General features: G+C 37.7%; 1 protein-coding gene across 7 annotated transcripts in view; it reads left to right on the top strand.

Annotated features, from left to right (window-relative positions):
* Positions 1-16,342, top strand: part of ZNF682 (zinc finger protein 682) — a 44,375-nt gene that overhangs the window by 13,858 nt on the left and 14,175 nt on the right. For 4 of the 7 annotated variants that reach the window (XR_007067033.1, NM_033196.3, NM_001077349.1 and 1 more), the window contains 2 exons: positions 1,272-1,398; positions 2,549-2,644. Coding sequence is in view for 3 of the 7 variants with exons in the window: in NM_033196.3 (NP_149973.1) it covers positions 1,272-1,398; positions 2,549-2,644 (223 nt within the window). In the remaining 4 variants the exon portion in view is untranslated. The other 3 variants (XM_047439658.1, XM_047439657.1, XM_047439656.1) reach the window with 3 other exon arrangements.

Raw genomic sequence — 16,342 nt, 5'->3', positions numbered from 1 at the left:
TTGAGTGCAATGTCACAATCTTGGCTCACTGCAATCTCCGCCTCCCACATTCAAGCAATTCTGCTACCTCTGCCTCCCGAGTAGCTGGGATTACAGGCACGTGCCACCATGCCCAGCTAATTTTTTGTATTTTTAGTAAAGATGGAGTTTCACCATGTTAGCCAGGATGGCCTCGATCTCCTGACCTCGTGATCTGCCCACCTTGGCCTCCCAAAGTGCTGGGATTACAGGCGTGAGCCACCGCGCCTGGCCCAATTCATGTTAATTTCAATCACTTGGTTAAGGCTCTCTGTGACAGATTTTTTTTAATTATAAAGTTAATTATTTTTATCTTTATTATTCGTAAGTACCTTGGGAGATTTACTGACTGATGTACATAAACCATCACATTTAATCTGCAAACTTCCCTTTCTTTTTAGATTCTCTTTGCTTAAAGCTTGCTTTGGAAAATGAAGGCTCATCTTTGTTTACTAGTCAGATAAACTGGGGCTCAACCACTTTGTGTTTGACAAAATATTCTTGATTCGGATGCCTTGGTATCAACTGGCTAGCTTTTAGAAATTCAGAAACTCAGGCTTCACCTGAGATCACCTGGATCAGACTGCATTTTAACAAGATCTGTAGTTCATTGTCACGTACATTAAAATTTGACAGATACCTTCTAACCCATCATGACTTCTCTGTATGAATAATATTTACAACTTATTCTATAATCTGTAGACATAAAACTCAAACTGTATATGCCTGTGTTGATGCCCTTAATTTTATAGTGATTATTTAGAAAAGTATCTACATTGGTTTTGTGGATTCTGTTTTCCTTTTTGTTTGTCGCCCAGGCAAGGAGTGCCATGGCATGATCTCAGCTCACTGCAACCTCTGCCTCCTGAGTTCAAGTGATTCTCCTCCCTCAGCCTCCCAAGTAACTGGGATTACAGGCGTGCACCACCACACCCAGCTAATTTTTGTATTTCTAGTAGAGACAGGGTTTCACCATGTTGGCCAGGCTGGTCTCAAATTCCTGACTTCAGGTGATCTGCCTGCCTCGGCCTCCCAAAATGATGGGATTACAGGCGTGAGCCACCGAACCTGGCCACATGGATTCTGTTTTCTTTCCTCAGTGTTAGAGAATACATCAGAGAATATATTTGTTAAAAATAGCAGATTGAATAATTCCAGTAACTCTCATAAGTCACAGCAATTCTCTCTTTTCACATGGAGTCAAGAACTCTGCCCATTGACAGTTGGTCACTATGTTTTGTTTTGTTTTTCAGGAACTGTTGACATTCAGGGATGTGACCATAGAATTCTCTCTGGAGGAGTGGGAGTTTCTGAACCCTGCTCAGCAGAGTTTGTATAGGAAAGTGATGCTAGAGAACTACAGAAACCTGGTCTCTCTGGGTGAGAATAACTTCAATACACAATTTCTATTTCACACAAAAGATTTTATTTTCTTCCTCTGTAGAATGTTTGGTGGGGATTTCTGCTTTGTATAAATGAGTTTTAGATCTCTGCTTTCAAGGAAAACTTGGGGATTTGTTGGGATAGAGAAGAAAATTTTCAAGATGTTTTATGTTTACATTAACTTTCTTCTACCTTGAGGTGATGGGCATTTTTCACTCTAGTTTAGTGGTAATTCTATTTTTTTATTTTATTTTATTTTATTTTTTGAGACAGAGTCTAGCTCTGTTGCCCAGGCTTGAGTGCAGTGGTACAATCCAGCTCACTGCAACCTCCACCTCCTGGGTTCAAGTGATTCTCCTGTCTTAGCCTCCTGAGTAGCTGGGACTACAGGTGCCCACCACCACGGCCAGCTAATTTTTGTATTTTTAGTAAAGAGGAGGTTTCACTATGTTGGCCAGGCTGGTCTCGAACTCCTGACCTCACGTGATCCACCCTCCTTGGCCTCCCGAAGTGTTGGGATTACTAGTGTGAACTACCCTACCCAGCCTTTAGTGGTAATTCTTGGAATTCCATTATAAAAATTCCTTTATAAAATATTATTGACCAGACCTTAAAATCCAACTTCTACCACCAATTTTCGATTAAGTAGTATTGGGTAGGGAAGCTAAAGACCCACAAATATAAAATATTCTAAACTTTCTGTTTAGAAATATTATTTTGTTACTAATTTTCTTTTCTTTCTTTTTTTTTGAGATGGAGTCTCGCTCTGTTGCCAGGCTGGAGTGTGCAGTGGCGCAATCTTGGCTCACTGTAATCTTTGCCTCCGGGTTCAAGTGATTCTCCTCCCTCAGCCTCCCAAGCAGCTGGGATTACAGGCACGTGCCACCACACCTTGCTCATTTTTGTATTTCTAGTAGAGATGGGGTTTCACCATGTTGGCCAGGATGGTCTCGATCTCCTGACCTCATGATGTGCCTGCTTTAGCCTCCCAAAATGTTGGGATTACAGGTATGAGCCAACGCGCCTGTCCTTATTATTAATTTTCTAGAATCATCTATAATATTCTCTCTTATCTACAGAGCACAACACTAGGTTGGTAATTGGAGAATCCCAGCAAGAATCACATTACTTTTTTCTAATAAAACAGGTCTTACTGTTTCTAAGCCAGAACTGATTAGCCGTCTGGAGCAAAGACAGGAGCCCTGGAATGTGAAGAGACATGAGACCATAGCCAAACCCCCAGGTAGGTTGGATGAATGAAACACATGCCACAGGTGAAAGCTCCAAAGGCCAAGAAGGAAGACAGACTTCAAGAGTTATTTGAGAAGCTCTGCTCCAATGGAGATGATTTTTGAGGAACGTGATTGTTTATTCTTGCTCTTGTACAGAGGCATCTTCTGTCTAATGCTCCTAAATTCTCTAAAAAGTAACCTTACTTTGAGGTTATAGTGAGAGCCAAAGTCCTCTTCATGGCTTATAAGAGACTTTATTATCTGACTGCCCTTTCATTGTCTTGGGGCACACAGAAATATATGTGTATTTTTGAGGAACTCTATGTTAAACTATTTTTTTCTTTTTTTTGAGAGAGAGAGTTTCGCTCGTGTTGCCCAGGCTGGAGTGCAATGGCTCAATCTTGGCTCACCATAACCTCTGCCTCCTGGGTTCAAGCGATTCTCCTGCCTCAGCCTCCCGAGTAGCTGGGATTACGTATGCCACCACGCCCAGCTAATTTTGTATTTTTAGTAGAGATGGGGTTTCTCCAAGTTGTTGAGGCTGGTCTTGAACCCACGACCTCAGGTGATCCACCCACCTCAGCCTCCCAAAGTGCTGGGATTACAGGCATGAGCCACCATGCCCGGCCTTTAAACTATTTTTTAAGGTTTTTGTTTTGTTTTGTTTTGGTTTTGGGTTTTGTTTTTGTTTGTATTATGTCTGAAATGTGTGAGAGTATTCGTGATAACGGTATTTGGTTCCAAAATCCCAGTAACACCACAAACAGATGTGGTGTATTTTCTGCTTTATGATTTCTTATGAAGTTTCTTTCTTTCTTTTTTTTTTAATAATTTTTTTTTTTTTTTGCGACGGAGTTTCACTCTGTCACCCAGGCTGGAGTGCAGGGCGCCATCTTGGCTCACTGCAACCTCTGCCTTCTGGGTTCAAGCAATTCTCCCACCTAAGCCACCCAAGTAGCTGGTATTACAGGCGTACACCACCATGCCCAGCTACTTTTTGTATTTTAGTAGAGATGGGGTTTCACCATGTTGGCCAGGTTGATTTGGAACTCCTGACCTCAGGTGATCCACCCGCCTCGGTCTCCCAAAGTGCTGGGATTACAGGTGTGAGCCACCGTGCCCAGCCCCTTATGGAATTTTCAAATGTGATTCTACAAAAATTCCTACTCAGTAATTTTGTTATAATGCTAAGCATCTCCCTAAATATAAGAAAATCTAATGTTATTTTATTTCTACATTTTATATTTTTAGTGTGAACTAAAATTGGTAATTTAAACTTTATTTTCCCAGATTCTTCAACTATATTAGTTGAGGTGTGTATACATATACACACAAATAAACCCACACATATACGTGTGGGGACCGTGTGGTTACTTTTCACAAATTAAAAGTATATAACTATTTATTATGTAAAGTGTAATGATTTTGTATATGTAAACATTGTGAAGTGATTAATACAGTTAAGTTAATGAATGCATCTGTTAACCTCACAGAGTTTTTTGTTGTTGTTGTTTTTTGTTTTCTTTCTTTTTGAGACGAGTCTCACTCTGTCACACAGGCTGGAGTGCAGTGGCGCAATCTTGGCTCACTGCAACCTCCGCCTCCCAGGTTCAAGTGATTCTTGTGCCTCAGCCTCCCAAGTAGCTGGGATTACAGGCTGGTCTCAAACCCCTGGCCTCATGTGATCCACCCTCCTTGGCCTCCAAAAGTGCTGGAATTAAGCCACCATGCAGAGTTTTCTTTTGCAGTGAAAGGTCTGCTGTCTTACTAAAATTTAAGCATATGGAGCACGTTTGTCCAACTCATGTCCTGCTGGCTGCATGCAGTCCAGGATGGCTTTGAATGTGGCCAAACACAAATTTGTAAACTTTCTTTAAACATGAGATTTTTTTAAAAGCTAATCAGTTACCATTAGTGTTAGTGTATTTTATGCGTGGCCCAAGACAATTCTTCCACTGTGGCCCAGGGAAGCCAAAAGATTGGATACCCCTGATATAGAGCATTATGATTAACTATAGCCATGATGCTATGCATTAGATCCCCAAAACTTAATTCATTTCAGGACTGGAAGTATATACTCATTGAACATCTTCCCATTTTCCCCACTTCGAGACTGGGTCAACCAGCTTTGTACTCTCTGTTTCTATGAGTTCATCCTTTTTAGATTACCCATAGAGCTGAGGATCATGCATTATTTTTCTTTCTGTGTCTGGCTTATTTCACTTAGCATAATGTCTTCCAGGTCCATCCATGTTGTTGAAATGTTGGCAGGATTTCATGATTTTTTTATGGCTGAATAATACTCTATTGTGTATATGTGTCATATTTTCTTTATCCAGTCAGGGTCCACAAACATTCAGGTTGTTTTCATGTCTTGGCAATTGTGAAATGAACATGGAGATGCAAATATTAGAAATACTGATTTTATTTCCTTTGGTTACATACACAGAAGTGGGATTGCTGGATTATGTGGAATTTTTTTAAAATTTAATTTAATTTAATTAATTTATTTATTTTTGAGATGGAGTCTCACCCTGTCACCCAGGCTGGAGTGCAATGGCACAATCTCAGTTCATTGCAACCTCCGCCTCCCGGGTTCAAACGATTCTGCTGCCTCAGCTTCCTGAGTAGCTTGGATTACAGGTGCCTGTCACCACGCCCAGCTAATTTTTGTATTTTTTAGTAGAGACAGGGTTTCACCATGTTGGCCAGGCTGGTCTCGAACTCCTGACCTCGTGATCCGCCTGCCTCAGCCTCCCACAGTGCTGGTATTACGGGTGTGAGCCACTGTGCTTGGCCTAATTTTATTTTTTAAAGAACGTCCATACTGGTTTTCATAATGACTCTACCAGTTTACAACACACCAACAGTGTACAAGATTTTTTTCTTCAGAAACTTGTCAACACTTGTTATCTCTTTTTAAAAATGTTTTTATGCTTAAAATTTCTTTCTTTTTTTTTTTTTTTTAAGAGAAGGGGTCTCACTGTGTTGCTAGGGCTGGCCTTGAACTCCTGGGCTCAAGCAGTCCTCTTACCTCAGATTCCCAAAATGCTGGGATTACGGGCATGAGCCACCATACCCAGCCCTATTCTTTTTGTTTGTATGAATTTGTGGGGTACAAGTGCAACCTTGTTACACAGATAGATTGCATGGTGGTGAAGTCAGTGCTTTTAGGGTATACATCACCCAAAAAATATAAGTGTCTCTTGATAATAGACATCCTAACAAATGTGAAGTGATATTTTATCATTGTTTTGGTTTGCACCTGCCTGATGACTGGTGATGTTGAGGTCCTTTTCTCATACCTGTTGGCTCTTTGTCTTCACTGGAAAAATATCTATCCATTCAGTCTGTTTTTCAGTTTTGTTCTTATTATCATTCTTATTATTGTTTTTGCCTTTGATTTGTATGAGTTCCTTATATATTCTGGATATTAACTTCTTATCAGGCGTATGGCTTGCAAATATTTTTTTCTATCCTGTAAGTTTCCTTCTATTATTTTCTTTGCTGTGCAGAAAATTTTCAGTTTGATGCAGTCCCACTTATTTATATTTGCTTTTGTTGCTGTGCTTTTGGTGTCATACCTCAAAAAATAACTGCCAAGAACAGTATCAAATAGGATTTTCCATGTTTGCTGGATTATATAGTAATTCCATTTTTAATATTTTGAAAAACCTTCATAGTATGTTTTTTACAGTAGTTGCATCATTTTTGCCTACCAGTGGCTCAAAAGGCCTCTCAATTTTCCATATCCGTAACACTTTTTTTTGGGGGGGTGGTTACAGTTGTTAATGGCTCTCCTAATGGGTTTGAGGTAATATTTTACTGTGATTTTACTTTGTGTTGGTCTAAAAGTTAGCAATCTTGAGCATCCTTTCAAATGCTTATAGGCTATTTATGTAACTTCTTCGGAGAGATGTCAGTTCAATTATTTGTCTGTTTCTTAATCAAGTAACTCACTTTTTGTTGAGTTTTAGACATTGTTTATATATTGTGAAAATTAACTCCTATCAAATATGTGATTTTCAAATATTTCACCCATTTCTTAGGTGACATTTTCACCCCACTAAATTTTTCCTTTGATGTGCAGAAATTCTGAAGTTTGATGTAGTCCCATTTCTCTATTATTTGTTCCTTATGCATTTGATTTCAGAGCTAAGAAAATGACATCAAATTCTTGGTCTTTTGTAACAAGAAATTAGTGCCAAGTCCAATGTCATATTTTCCCCCATATACTTATCTAGGAAGTTTGTTATATTTTTATGTTCAAGTATTTAATCCATTTTAAATACTGTTTTTATATGGTGCATGTAACGGAAGGGCTCAACTTTATTTTTTTCATGTAGATACTCAGTTTTCAACATCATTTGTTGAAAAAACTGTTTTCTTCCCCATTGTGTGGCCATAGCAATCTTATGTAAGGTTATTTGATTATGTACACACGTGCTTAATTCTGAGCTATTTTGTTTTATCATCCATTTATTTTTCTTTGTGCTAATACCACATTATTTCTATCTTTATAGCTTTGGGTAATGTGTTATAAAACCAGGAAGTGTAATACCTCTTTGTTGTTCTTTTTAAAGGGTGTTTTGCTAGTTATAGCTCCTAAAAGAATTTGAGAGGCTGGGCGCGGTGGCTCACGCCTGTAATCCCAGCACTTTGGGAGGCCGAGGCGGGCGGATCACGAGGTCAGGAGATCGAGACCATCCCGGCTAAAAACGGTGAAACCCCGTCTCTACTAAAAATACAAAAAATTAGCCGGGCGTAGTGGCGGGCGCCTGTAGTCCCAGCTACTTGGGAGGCTGAGGCGGGAGAATGGCGTGAACCCGGGAGGCGGAGCTTGCAGTGAGCCGAGATCCCGCCACTGCACTCCAGCCTGGGCGACAGAGCGAGACTCCGTCTCAAAAAAAAAAAAAAAAAAAAAAAAAAAAAAAAAGAATTTGAGAATCTTAACTATATTTCTGCAAAAAAAAAAAATAAAAACTACCATGGAGATTTTGATAGATATTACATTGAATTTGTACGTGGCTGTGCATGTTGACATCTTAACAAAATGAAATTATCTGATCCTTGAGCAAGAATATGTTTGAGTGGGTTTAATTTCCACATTTTTTGGATTTACGGTTTTACTTCTGCTTCTGATTTCTAGTTTCATTCCATTTTGGTCAGAAAATATACACTGTATGATTTCAGTCTCCTTAAATTTATTAAGACTTGTTATGTGTCCTAACAGAATGCTCTGTGTGTAATTGAGAATATCATGTATTCTGCTGCTTTTAACTGGAACGTTCTGTATGTGTCTCTTAGGTCTAATTGGTCTGTAATGTTTTAAGTTTTTTATTTTCTTATTGATCTATCTGGTTTTTTTATATTCATGATTGAGAATGAGGCCGTGAAATCTATAATTATTGTGCTGCTGTGTATTTCTTGCTTACCTTCTGTCAATATTTGTTTTATATATTTGAGAGTGCTATGTGTTATAGTTATATAACAGTTATATGTGTTATAGATTCCCGGTAAATGGATCCATTTTGCCATTATATAATACCAATCTTTATCTTTTGTAACAATTTTTTACTTAAAGTGGATTTTGTCTAACTATGGCCACCCCACCCACTTGAGCTTACTGTTTGCATGGAATATATTTTTGTATCCTGTCACTTTCAGCCTGTTTGTCTCCTTAAAACTAAAATGAGTCCCCTAAAGACGCATATTGTAAGATTTTGTTTTTAACTCATTCAGCTATTTTACTTTTTTAAAGGGTTCAATCTGTTCATATTTAAAATAATACCAGAAAGAAATAAAATTACTAGTTGCGTTTTGTTTTCGATTACGTTCTGTGCTTGTCATAAATACGTTTTCCCTCATTTCCTCTCTTACTGCCTTTGTTTTTGTTTTGTTAATTTTGTAGTGGCATACTTTGATTCCTTTTTCATTTTCTTTTGCATATCTTCTATAGGTATTTTTGTGATCACCTTGAAAAATGAGAGTTTATGAAACATAACAATATGCTTAAATCTCATCTTTACTTCAGTTGAATATAAAACTATACCTTTTTACATCCTTTGTTATTAGTGTCACATTATATCATTTCGTATTGCGTATCTATTAACAGATTTATGCAAATTTGTGTTTTGGTTTATTAAATTCTATGGCAAGATTTTCAGTTTTATGCATTATTATTATAGTAGAGAATTGTAGATCTGTGTATATATTTACTTTACCATTTCTTATAGAACTATACACATGGTGACAAAGACTGACAGCTTTTGTTTACCTTATAAAGTCTTTATTTTTTATCCTTATTCTAGAGGTAAATTTTTCCAGGTAAAATTTTCTTTGTTGGCAGTATTATTTTGCTTTTATGACTCAATATTTATAAGTGAAATGTCTTTAATTTGCTGATACCATCTATTACCTCATTAAGTTATCTGTTGTGGCTCTGTAATAATTTTTTTAACTTAGTTATTGTATTCAGTTCCACAATTTTTGTTTTTTTAAAAAATACTTTTAATAGTTTTTTAAATCTCTGTTGATATATCATTTCCTCATGCACTATTTTCTTGATTCTGTTTAGTTGTCTACATTCTATTTTTGCTCATTGAACATGTTTAAAATGATTATTTTGAATTCCCTGTCAGATAATACAAGGATCTTCATTTCTCAAAAATTGATTTCCGAAGAATCATTTTATTCCTTTAAAGGAATATATTTCCTGTCTTCTCTCTATGCCCTGTGATCTCTGGATGACATTTGGAAATTTATAAAATAAATATTTATAGACTGGCTCTATAGACTGACTCAGCCCCCCAAGTAGCTGACAGTACAGGCGAGTGCTACCACGCCTGGCTAATTTTTGTATTCTTTCTAAAGATGGAGTTTCACCATGTTGTCCAGGCTGGTGTTGAACTCCTGAGCTCAAGCGATCCACCCGCCTCAGCTTCCCAAAGTGCTAGGGTTACAGGCTTGAGCCACCATGCCCGGCTTAGTTTGTATAATTAAGTTGCCTGCACGTAAAAAGCTTTCTTTGCATTTTCATCTATATTCCTCAACGTTTATCTGAATGATAGCATAATTTATTCCTAATTCATAATCAGTGTTTTATACCGTATTTTACAATATTTATATTGTTCTTACAGTAAAAGATGTAAGTCTTTTCTTTGCTTCTGCAGGCTAGATTACAGCCTTACCATTTTGTGTAAAAAGAAGAGCAACATATTAATAAGTTTCCCTAGTATTATGTAAGTGCTTATTTCTTAAAAATTATTTTCTCAAAGCTTTTTATGAATAATTATAATGGGGTTTCTGTGAAATATTAATGCTCTAACTGTATGCTCTTGATTCAAAAATGTATGCTTTTTATGGATAGCCAGTCATGGTTGAAAATTGTAGCTATCTAGAAGAATTCTTCATCAGTACTCCACTATGTTTATTCAGAATTTTATGGGTTATAGTTTCTTTTAATTTTGCTTTGCAATTTTATATTTATTTGTTACAGTTTTTATAATAGGCCATTTGACATTCATTATATTTTTTAGTTTTTATTCATATATTATAATTTTGTATGACAGTATTCAGCTCTGTACATTTTAAGACAGTGTGAGGCAAAAGTCAGATATGAATCAGCCATATGTTTATTACCAATTTAATTATCTCTGTGTTTGACTGAATAGGTTTTACCCCATTTTGTTTGTGACTCTTATATTTACATTTTTGTTGGTCATCAGTGATGGTTTTATCCTGTTTAGATGAGGAGTCATGAGAATTGTTGTAAATTCAACATCTATTCATTGGTGGATGTATATTTTCTTTTTGTGAGAGAAACACTTGTGATTTGAAGGTAATTTTTGAAAAGCTTTATAACTTTATTTTAGGTGTAATTGTTTATTTTTAATTGTGCAAAATACATAACATAAAATTTAGAATCTTAAATATTTTCAGTTACACAGTTCTGTTGTATTGGGTATATTGACATTGTCGTGCAGTGTATCTCCACATGTTTTTATCTTGGGAAACTCAAACTCAACATACACGAAACTACTCATTTTCCCCCTTGACTGACCCTTTACAAACACCTCTCTATTTTGTTTCTGAGTGTAACTACTTTAGATGTCTCATTTAAATGGATTTATACAATCCTGTCTTTTTATGGCTGGCTTATTTTACTTAGCATCATGCCATCAGATTTCTCTTTATCGTACATGTTAGAAGATTTCCTGCTTTTTTTTTTTTTTTTGAGATGGAGTCTCGCTCTGTTGCCAGGCTGGAATGCAGTGGCGCAATCTCGGCTCACTTCAACCTCCGCCTCCCAGGTTCAAGCGATTCCCCTGCCTCAGCCTCCTGAGTAGCTGGGACTACAGGCACGTGCCACCACGCCTGGCTAATTTTTTTTTTTTTTTTGTATTCTAGTAGAGACGAGGTTTCACCATGTTGGCCAGGATGGTCTGGATCTCCTAACTTCATGATCCGCCCACCTGGGCCTCCCAAAGTCCTGGGATTACAGGCATGAACCTACACGTCCGACCCAATTTTCTGCTTTTTAAAAGCTGAGTATTATTCCATTATTTGTATATTATAAATTGTATTTTTCTATTCATTTGGTGAGAGAAGTTTGGGTTTCTTTCACCTATTGATTTTTGTGAATAATGCTACAATTAATATGGGTGTGCAAGTAACTATTTGACCATATACATGAAAGATAATATCTGTGCTACATTCTTTTTCATTGGTCTAATTGTCTGCCTTTATGCTAGTACTAAACTGCATTTATTACTGTAGTTTTGTCATGTGTTTTGAAATCAGGAAGTGTGATGCTTCCAACACCTTTCTTTATTTTAAAGATTATTTAGCTCTTCATGGTCTCTTGAGATTTTATTTGATTTGGGCATTGCTTTTTTATTCCTGCAAAAAATGAAATTGGGAATTTGAAGGGGATTGCATTGAATCTGAACATTACTTTGGGCACTGTAAAGATGTTGTACAGTATTAATTCTTCAAATCCTTGAACACGAGCATGCTTAAGAATGTGTTTAATTTCCATATATTTGTGGATTTTTTTCTATTACTAATTTTTAGTTTCATTCCATTTTGGTCATAATAATAGTCTATAAGATTTCCATTTTTAAAAGTTTGCTAGGCCAGGCATGGTGGCTCACACCTGCAATCCCAGCACTTTGGGAGGCCGATGCAGGCGGATCACCTGAAGTCGGGAGTTTGAGACCAGCCTGACCAACATGGAGAGACCCCATCTCTACTAACAATACAAAATTAGCTGGATGTGGTGGCACATGCCTGTAATCCCAGCTACTAGGGAAGCTGAGGCAGGAGAATCGCTTGAACCCAAGAGATGGAGGTTGTGGTGAGCCCAGATCGCGCCACTGCGCTCCAGCCTGGGCAACAAGAGCGAAACTCAGTCTCAAAATTAAAAAAAAAAAAGTTTGCTAAGAATGGCTTTGTGCCCTAACAAGTGGTATATCCAAGAGAATGTGTTATGAGCTATGGAGAAGACTGTGTATTCTGCTATATGTCCATTAGGTGTAATTTTTAGAGTGCTTTGAAGTCCTCTGTTCTTATATTTAATATTCCACCTTGCTTTATAACTTATTACTGAAAGTGGGATATTGAAATATCTTACTATTATTATATTGCTGTGTATTTCTTCAATTTTGTTAATGTTTACTTTATATATTTGGGAACCCTGATGATAATATATATGTTATAGTTTTCTATAACATATATAAATTAATCTTTTTATTATTATATAATGTCCTTCTTTGTCTCTTGTGAGAATTTTGACTACAGTATATTTTATAACAGGGTTTGACCTAAAATGTAGTTTGCCTTATGTAATTTTGACCTAGTTTCTTCTCATTTGGTTAACATTCTAATAGAATGACTTGTACCATTCTTCTTTTAGTCTATTGTCTTCTTCAGATTGAAAGTGAGTATCTTGTAAAAAGAATGTAGTTGAATCTTGTTTTTACACCAGTTTATGTCTTTCGATTGGGAAGTTTATTCCATGAACCATGAATTTTAATTTTCTGATAGAGAAGGGGTTACTATTGCCATTTTATTGTTTTGATTTTTGTTGCTGTTTGTCCTTCTTTTTCTCCCTTTTTATCTCATTTTTTCATGTTTCTTGGCTGCTTTTATGTCTTTTGAGAAATGACCATGTCCTTTGACCACTTTTTAATGAATTATTTCTGTTTTTCTTGTTGATTTAAATTTCTTTTTTTTTTTTTTTTTTTGAGACGGAGTCTTGCTCTGTCGCCCAGGCTGGAGTGCAGTGGCGCGATCTCGGTTCACTGCAAGCTCCGCCTCCCGGGTTCGTGCCATTCTCCTGCCTCAGCCTCCCGAGCAGCTGAGACTACAGGCGCCCGCCACCATGCCCCACTAATTTTTTGTATTTTTTAGTAGAAACGGGGTTTCACCGTGTTAGCCAGGATGGTCTTGATCTCCTGACCTCGTGATCCACCCGCCTCGGCCTCCCAAAGTGCTGGGATTACAGGCGTGAGCCACCACACCTGGCTTGATTTAAATTTATTATAGATTGTGAACATTAGTTCCTTGTCAGATGCATAGTCTACAAATACTTTCTCCCAATAGGTTGTCTGTTTAGTCTATTGATAGTTTGTCATTTTTGATTGTGCTTATTGGATCCTTTTTTTTCTTTGTTAACTTAGCTAGTGATCTAGTGATCTTGTTTATCTTTCAGAAAAATTTATTTTTTTGATTAATTGAATGGTTTTCTTGGTTTCAATATTATTTTGTTCTGCTCTGATTTGAATTATTTCTTTTCTTCTTCTAGCTTTGGATTTACTTTGTTCTCGTTTTTCTCATTTCTTTATGCATGGTATCAGGTTGTTAACTTGAGATCTATCTTCTTGATATAAAAGTTTAGCACTATAAACCCTCCTAACACTGCTTTTGCCACATTCCAAGGTTTTGTTACATTTTGTCACTGTTTTTTTTTTATTTTGAGATGGAGTCTCACTCTGTCACCCAGGCTGGAGTGCAGTGGCGCAATCTCCGCTCACTGCAACCTCTGCCTCCTGGGTTCAAGTGATTCTCCTGCCTCACTCTCCCAGGTAGCTAGGATTACAGGCGCCTGCCACCACGCCCGGCTAATTTCTTATATTTTTAGTAGACATGGGGTTTCACTATGTTGGCCAGGCTGGTCTTGAACCTCTGATCTCGTGATCCGCCTGCCTCGGCCTCCCAAAGTGCTGGGATTGCAGACATGAGCCACCACGCCTGGCCTCGTCACCATTTTTATTTGTTTCAAATAAGTTTCTGATTTCTGCCTTAATTTCATTGTTTACCCAAAAGTCATTCAGGAACAAGTTTAATTTTCTATATTTGTGTAGTTTTGAGGGTTCCTCTTGCTATTGAGTTTTGAGTTTATTTCACTCTGTTTCAAGAAGATGATTTCAATTTTTCTGAATTTTTGAAATCTGTTTTGACTGAGCATGTGGTCAATCTTAAAGTATATTCTGTGCGCAGATGAGAATGTATGTGTGTCTTCATTAGATGAATTATTCTGTAGATGTCTATGGTCAAGTGCTGAGTTTAAGTCCAGAATTTCTTTGTTAGTTTTCTGCCTTGATGATCTGTAATGCTATCTGTAAGGTGTTGTCTTCCGCTATTATTGTGTGGCTGGCTAAGTCTTTTTTTTAGGTCCAGTAATAATTGCTTTATAAACATGGGTGTGCCAATGTTGAGTGCATACATATTTAGGATAGTTAAATATCGTTGATTTATCTATTTATTTATTGAATCCTTTATTATTATGTAATGTGTTTGTCTTTTTTACTGTTGTTGGTTTAAAATCTGTTTTATTAATACAAGAATAGTGACCACTGCATTTTTTTGTTTGTTTTTTTCCCATTTGTGTGATAGATGTTACTTTTTCCCTTTACTTTGAGTTTATGGGTGTCATTATACGTGAGGTGAGTTTCTCGAAGTCAGCAGAAGGTTAAGTCTTGGTTTTTTTTAAATCTGATTTGCCACTTTGTGTCTTTTTTTTTAATTAAAAAAATTTTTTTTTCTTTTTTGAGACAGTCTCGCTCTGTTGGCAGGCTGGAGTGAAGTGGCACGATCTCGGCTTACTGCAACCTCTGCCTCCTGGATTCAAGCAATTCTCCTGCCTCAGCCTCCCTAGTAGCTGGGACTACACGTGCACACCACCACGTCCAGCTAATTTTTGTATTTTTATTAGAGACAGGGTTTCACCATGTTGACCAGGATGGTCTTGATCTCTTGACCTGGTGATCTGCCCGCCTCAGTCTCCCAAAGTGCTAGGATTACAGGGGTGAGCCACCGCACTGGCCAGTTTTTTAAATTTTTTAATATATTTTTTGAGACAGAGTCTCGATCTGTCACCCGGGCTGGAGTGCAGGCGCGATATCAGCTTACTGAAACCTCTGACTCCCAGGTTCAAGTGATTCTCCTGCCTCAGCCTCCCGAGTACCTGGGACTACAGGAATGTGCCACCACTCCTGGCTAATTTTTGTATTTTAGTAGAGACGGGGTTTCACCATGTTGGCTGGGCTGGTCTCAAACTCCTGACCTCAGGTGATCCACCTGCCTCAGCCTCCCAAAGCGCTGGGATTACAAGCATGAGCCACTGTGCCTGGCCACCACTTTGTGTCTTTTAAGTGGAGCATTTAGACTGCTGTGTTCAAGGTTAATATTGATATCTTAGTTTTTGTTCCCTTCATGCACTCTGTAGTCTTGATTGTACAGTTGCTTTGTAGGGTCTGTGGGCTATGTACTTATGTGTGTTTTTGTGGTAGTAGGTATCATTCTTCCATTTCCATATTTGGAACACTCTTAAGCACCTTGTGATGCCAGTCTAGTGGTAGTTAATTCACCTAGTGGTTGCTTGTCTGAGAAATATTTTATTCCTCCTTTGCTTATGAAACTTAGTTTGCTGGAACATAAAATTCCTGATTGGAATTTCTTTTTTTTTTTTAATCTCTTTTTTTGTTGTTGTTGAGATGGAGTCTCGCTCTGTGGCCCAGCCTGGAGTGCAGTGGTGCAATCTCAGCTCACTGCAACCTCTGCCTCCAGGGCTCAAGCAATTCTCGTGCCTCAGCCTCCTGAGTAGCTAGGACTACAGGTGCACGCTACCATGCCAGGCTAATGTTTTGTATTTAATAGAGGCAGGCTTTCACCATGATGCCCAGGGTGGTCTTGAACTCCTGAACTCAGGTGATCTGCCCACCTTGGCCTCCCAAAAAGCTCGGATTACAGACGTGAGCCACTGCACCTGGCCTCTTTCTTTAAAAATGTTAAAAACAGGCCCCTAATATCTTCCAGATTGTAAGGTTTCTGTGGGGAGGTCCACTGTTTGATAGAATTCATTTTTTAGGTAATATGGCCCTTTTCTCTAGTTGCCTTTTATTTTTGTATTTCATGTTGACCTTGGAAAGTCTGAATACTATGTGCCTTGAGGATGGTTGTCTTGTATAGTATCTCAAAGGAGTTCCTTGAATTTCTTGTATCTCTGTGTCAACCTCTCTAGCAAGATGGGAAAATTTTTCGTAGATTATATCCTTACGTATGTTTTCCAAGTTGGTTACTTTTTTTCCTTCTCTCTCAGGAATACTAATGAGTCATAAGTTTGACCCCTTTACATAATTCCATATTTCTCAGAAGCTTTGTTTTTTTGTAGTGAATTCTTTTTTCTTTACTATCTTCTGACTGGG

This window comes from Homo sapiens, chromosome 19 (assembly GCF_000001405.40).
Source record: "Homo sapiens chromosome 19, GRCh38.p14 Primary Assembly".
NCBI lineage: Eukaryota > Metazoa > Chordata > Mammalia > Primates > Hominidae > Homo > Homo sapiens.
Note: the sequence above shows the minus strand (reverse complement) of the source record. Positions and strands in the feature narration are given on the sequence as shown.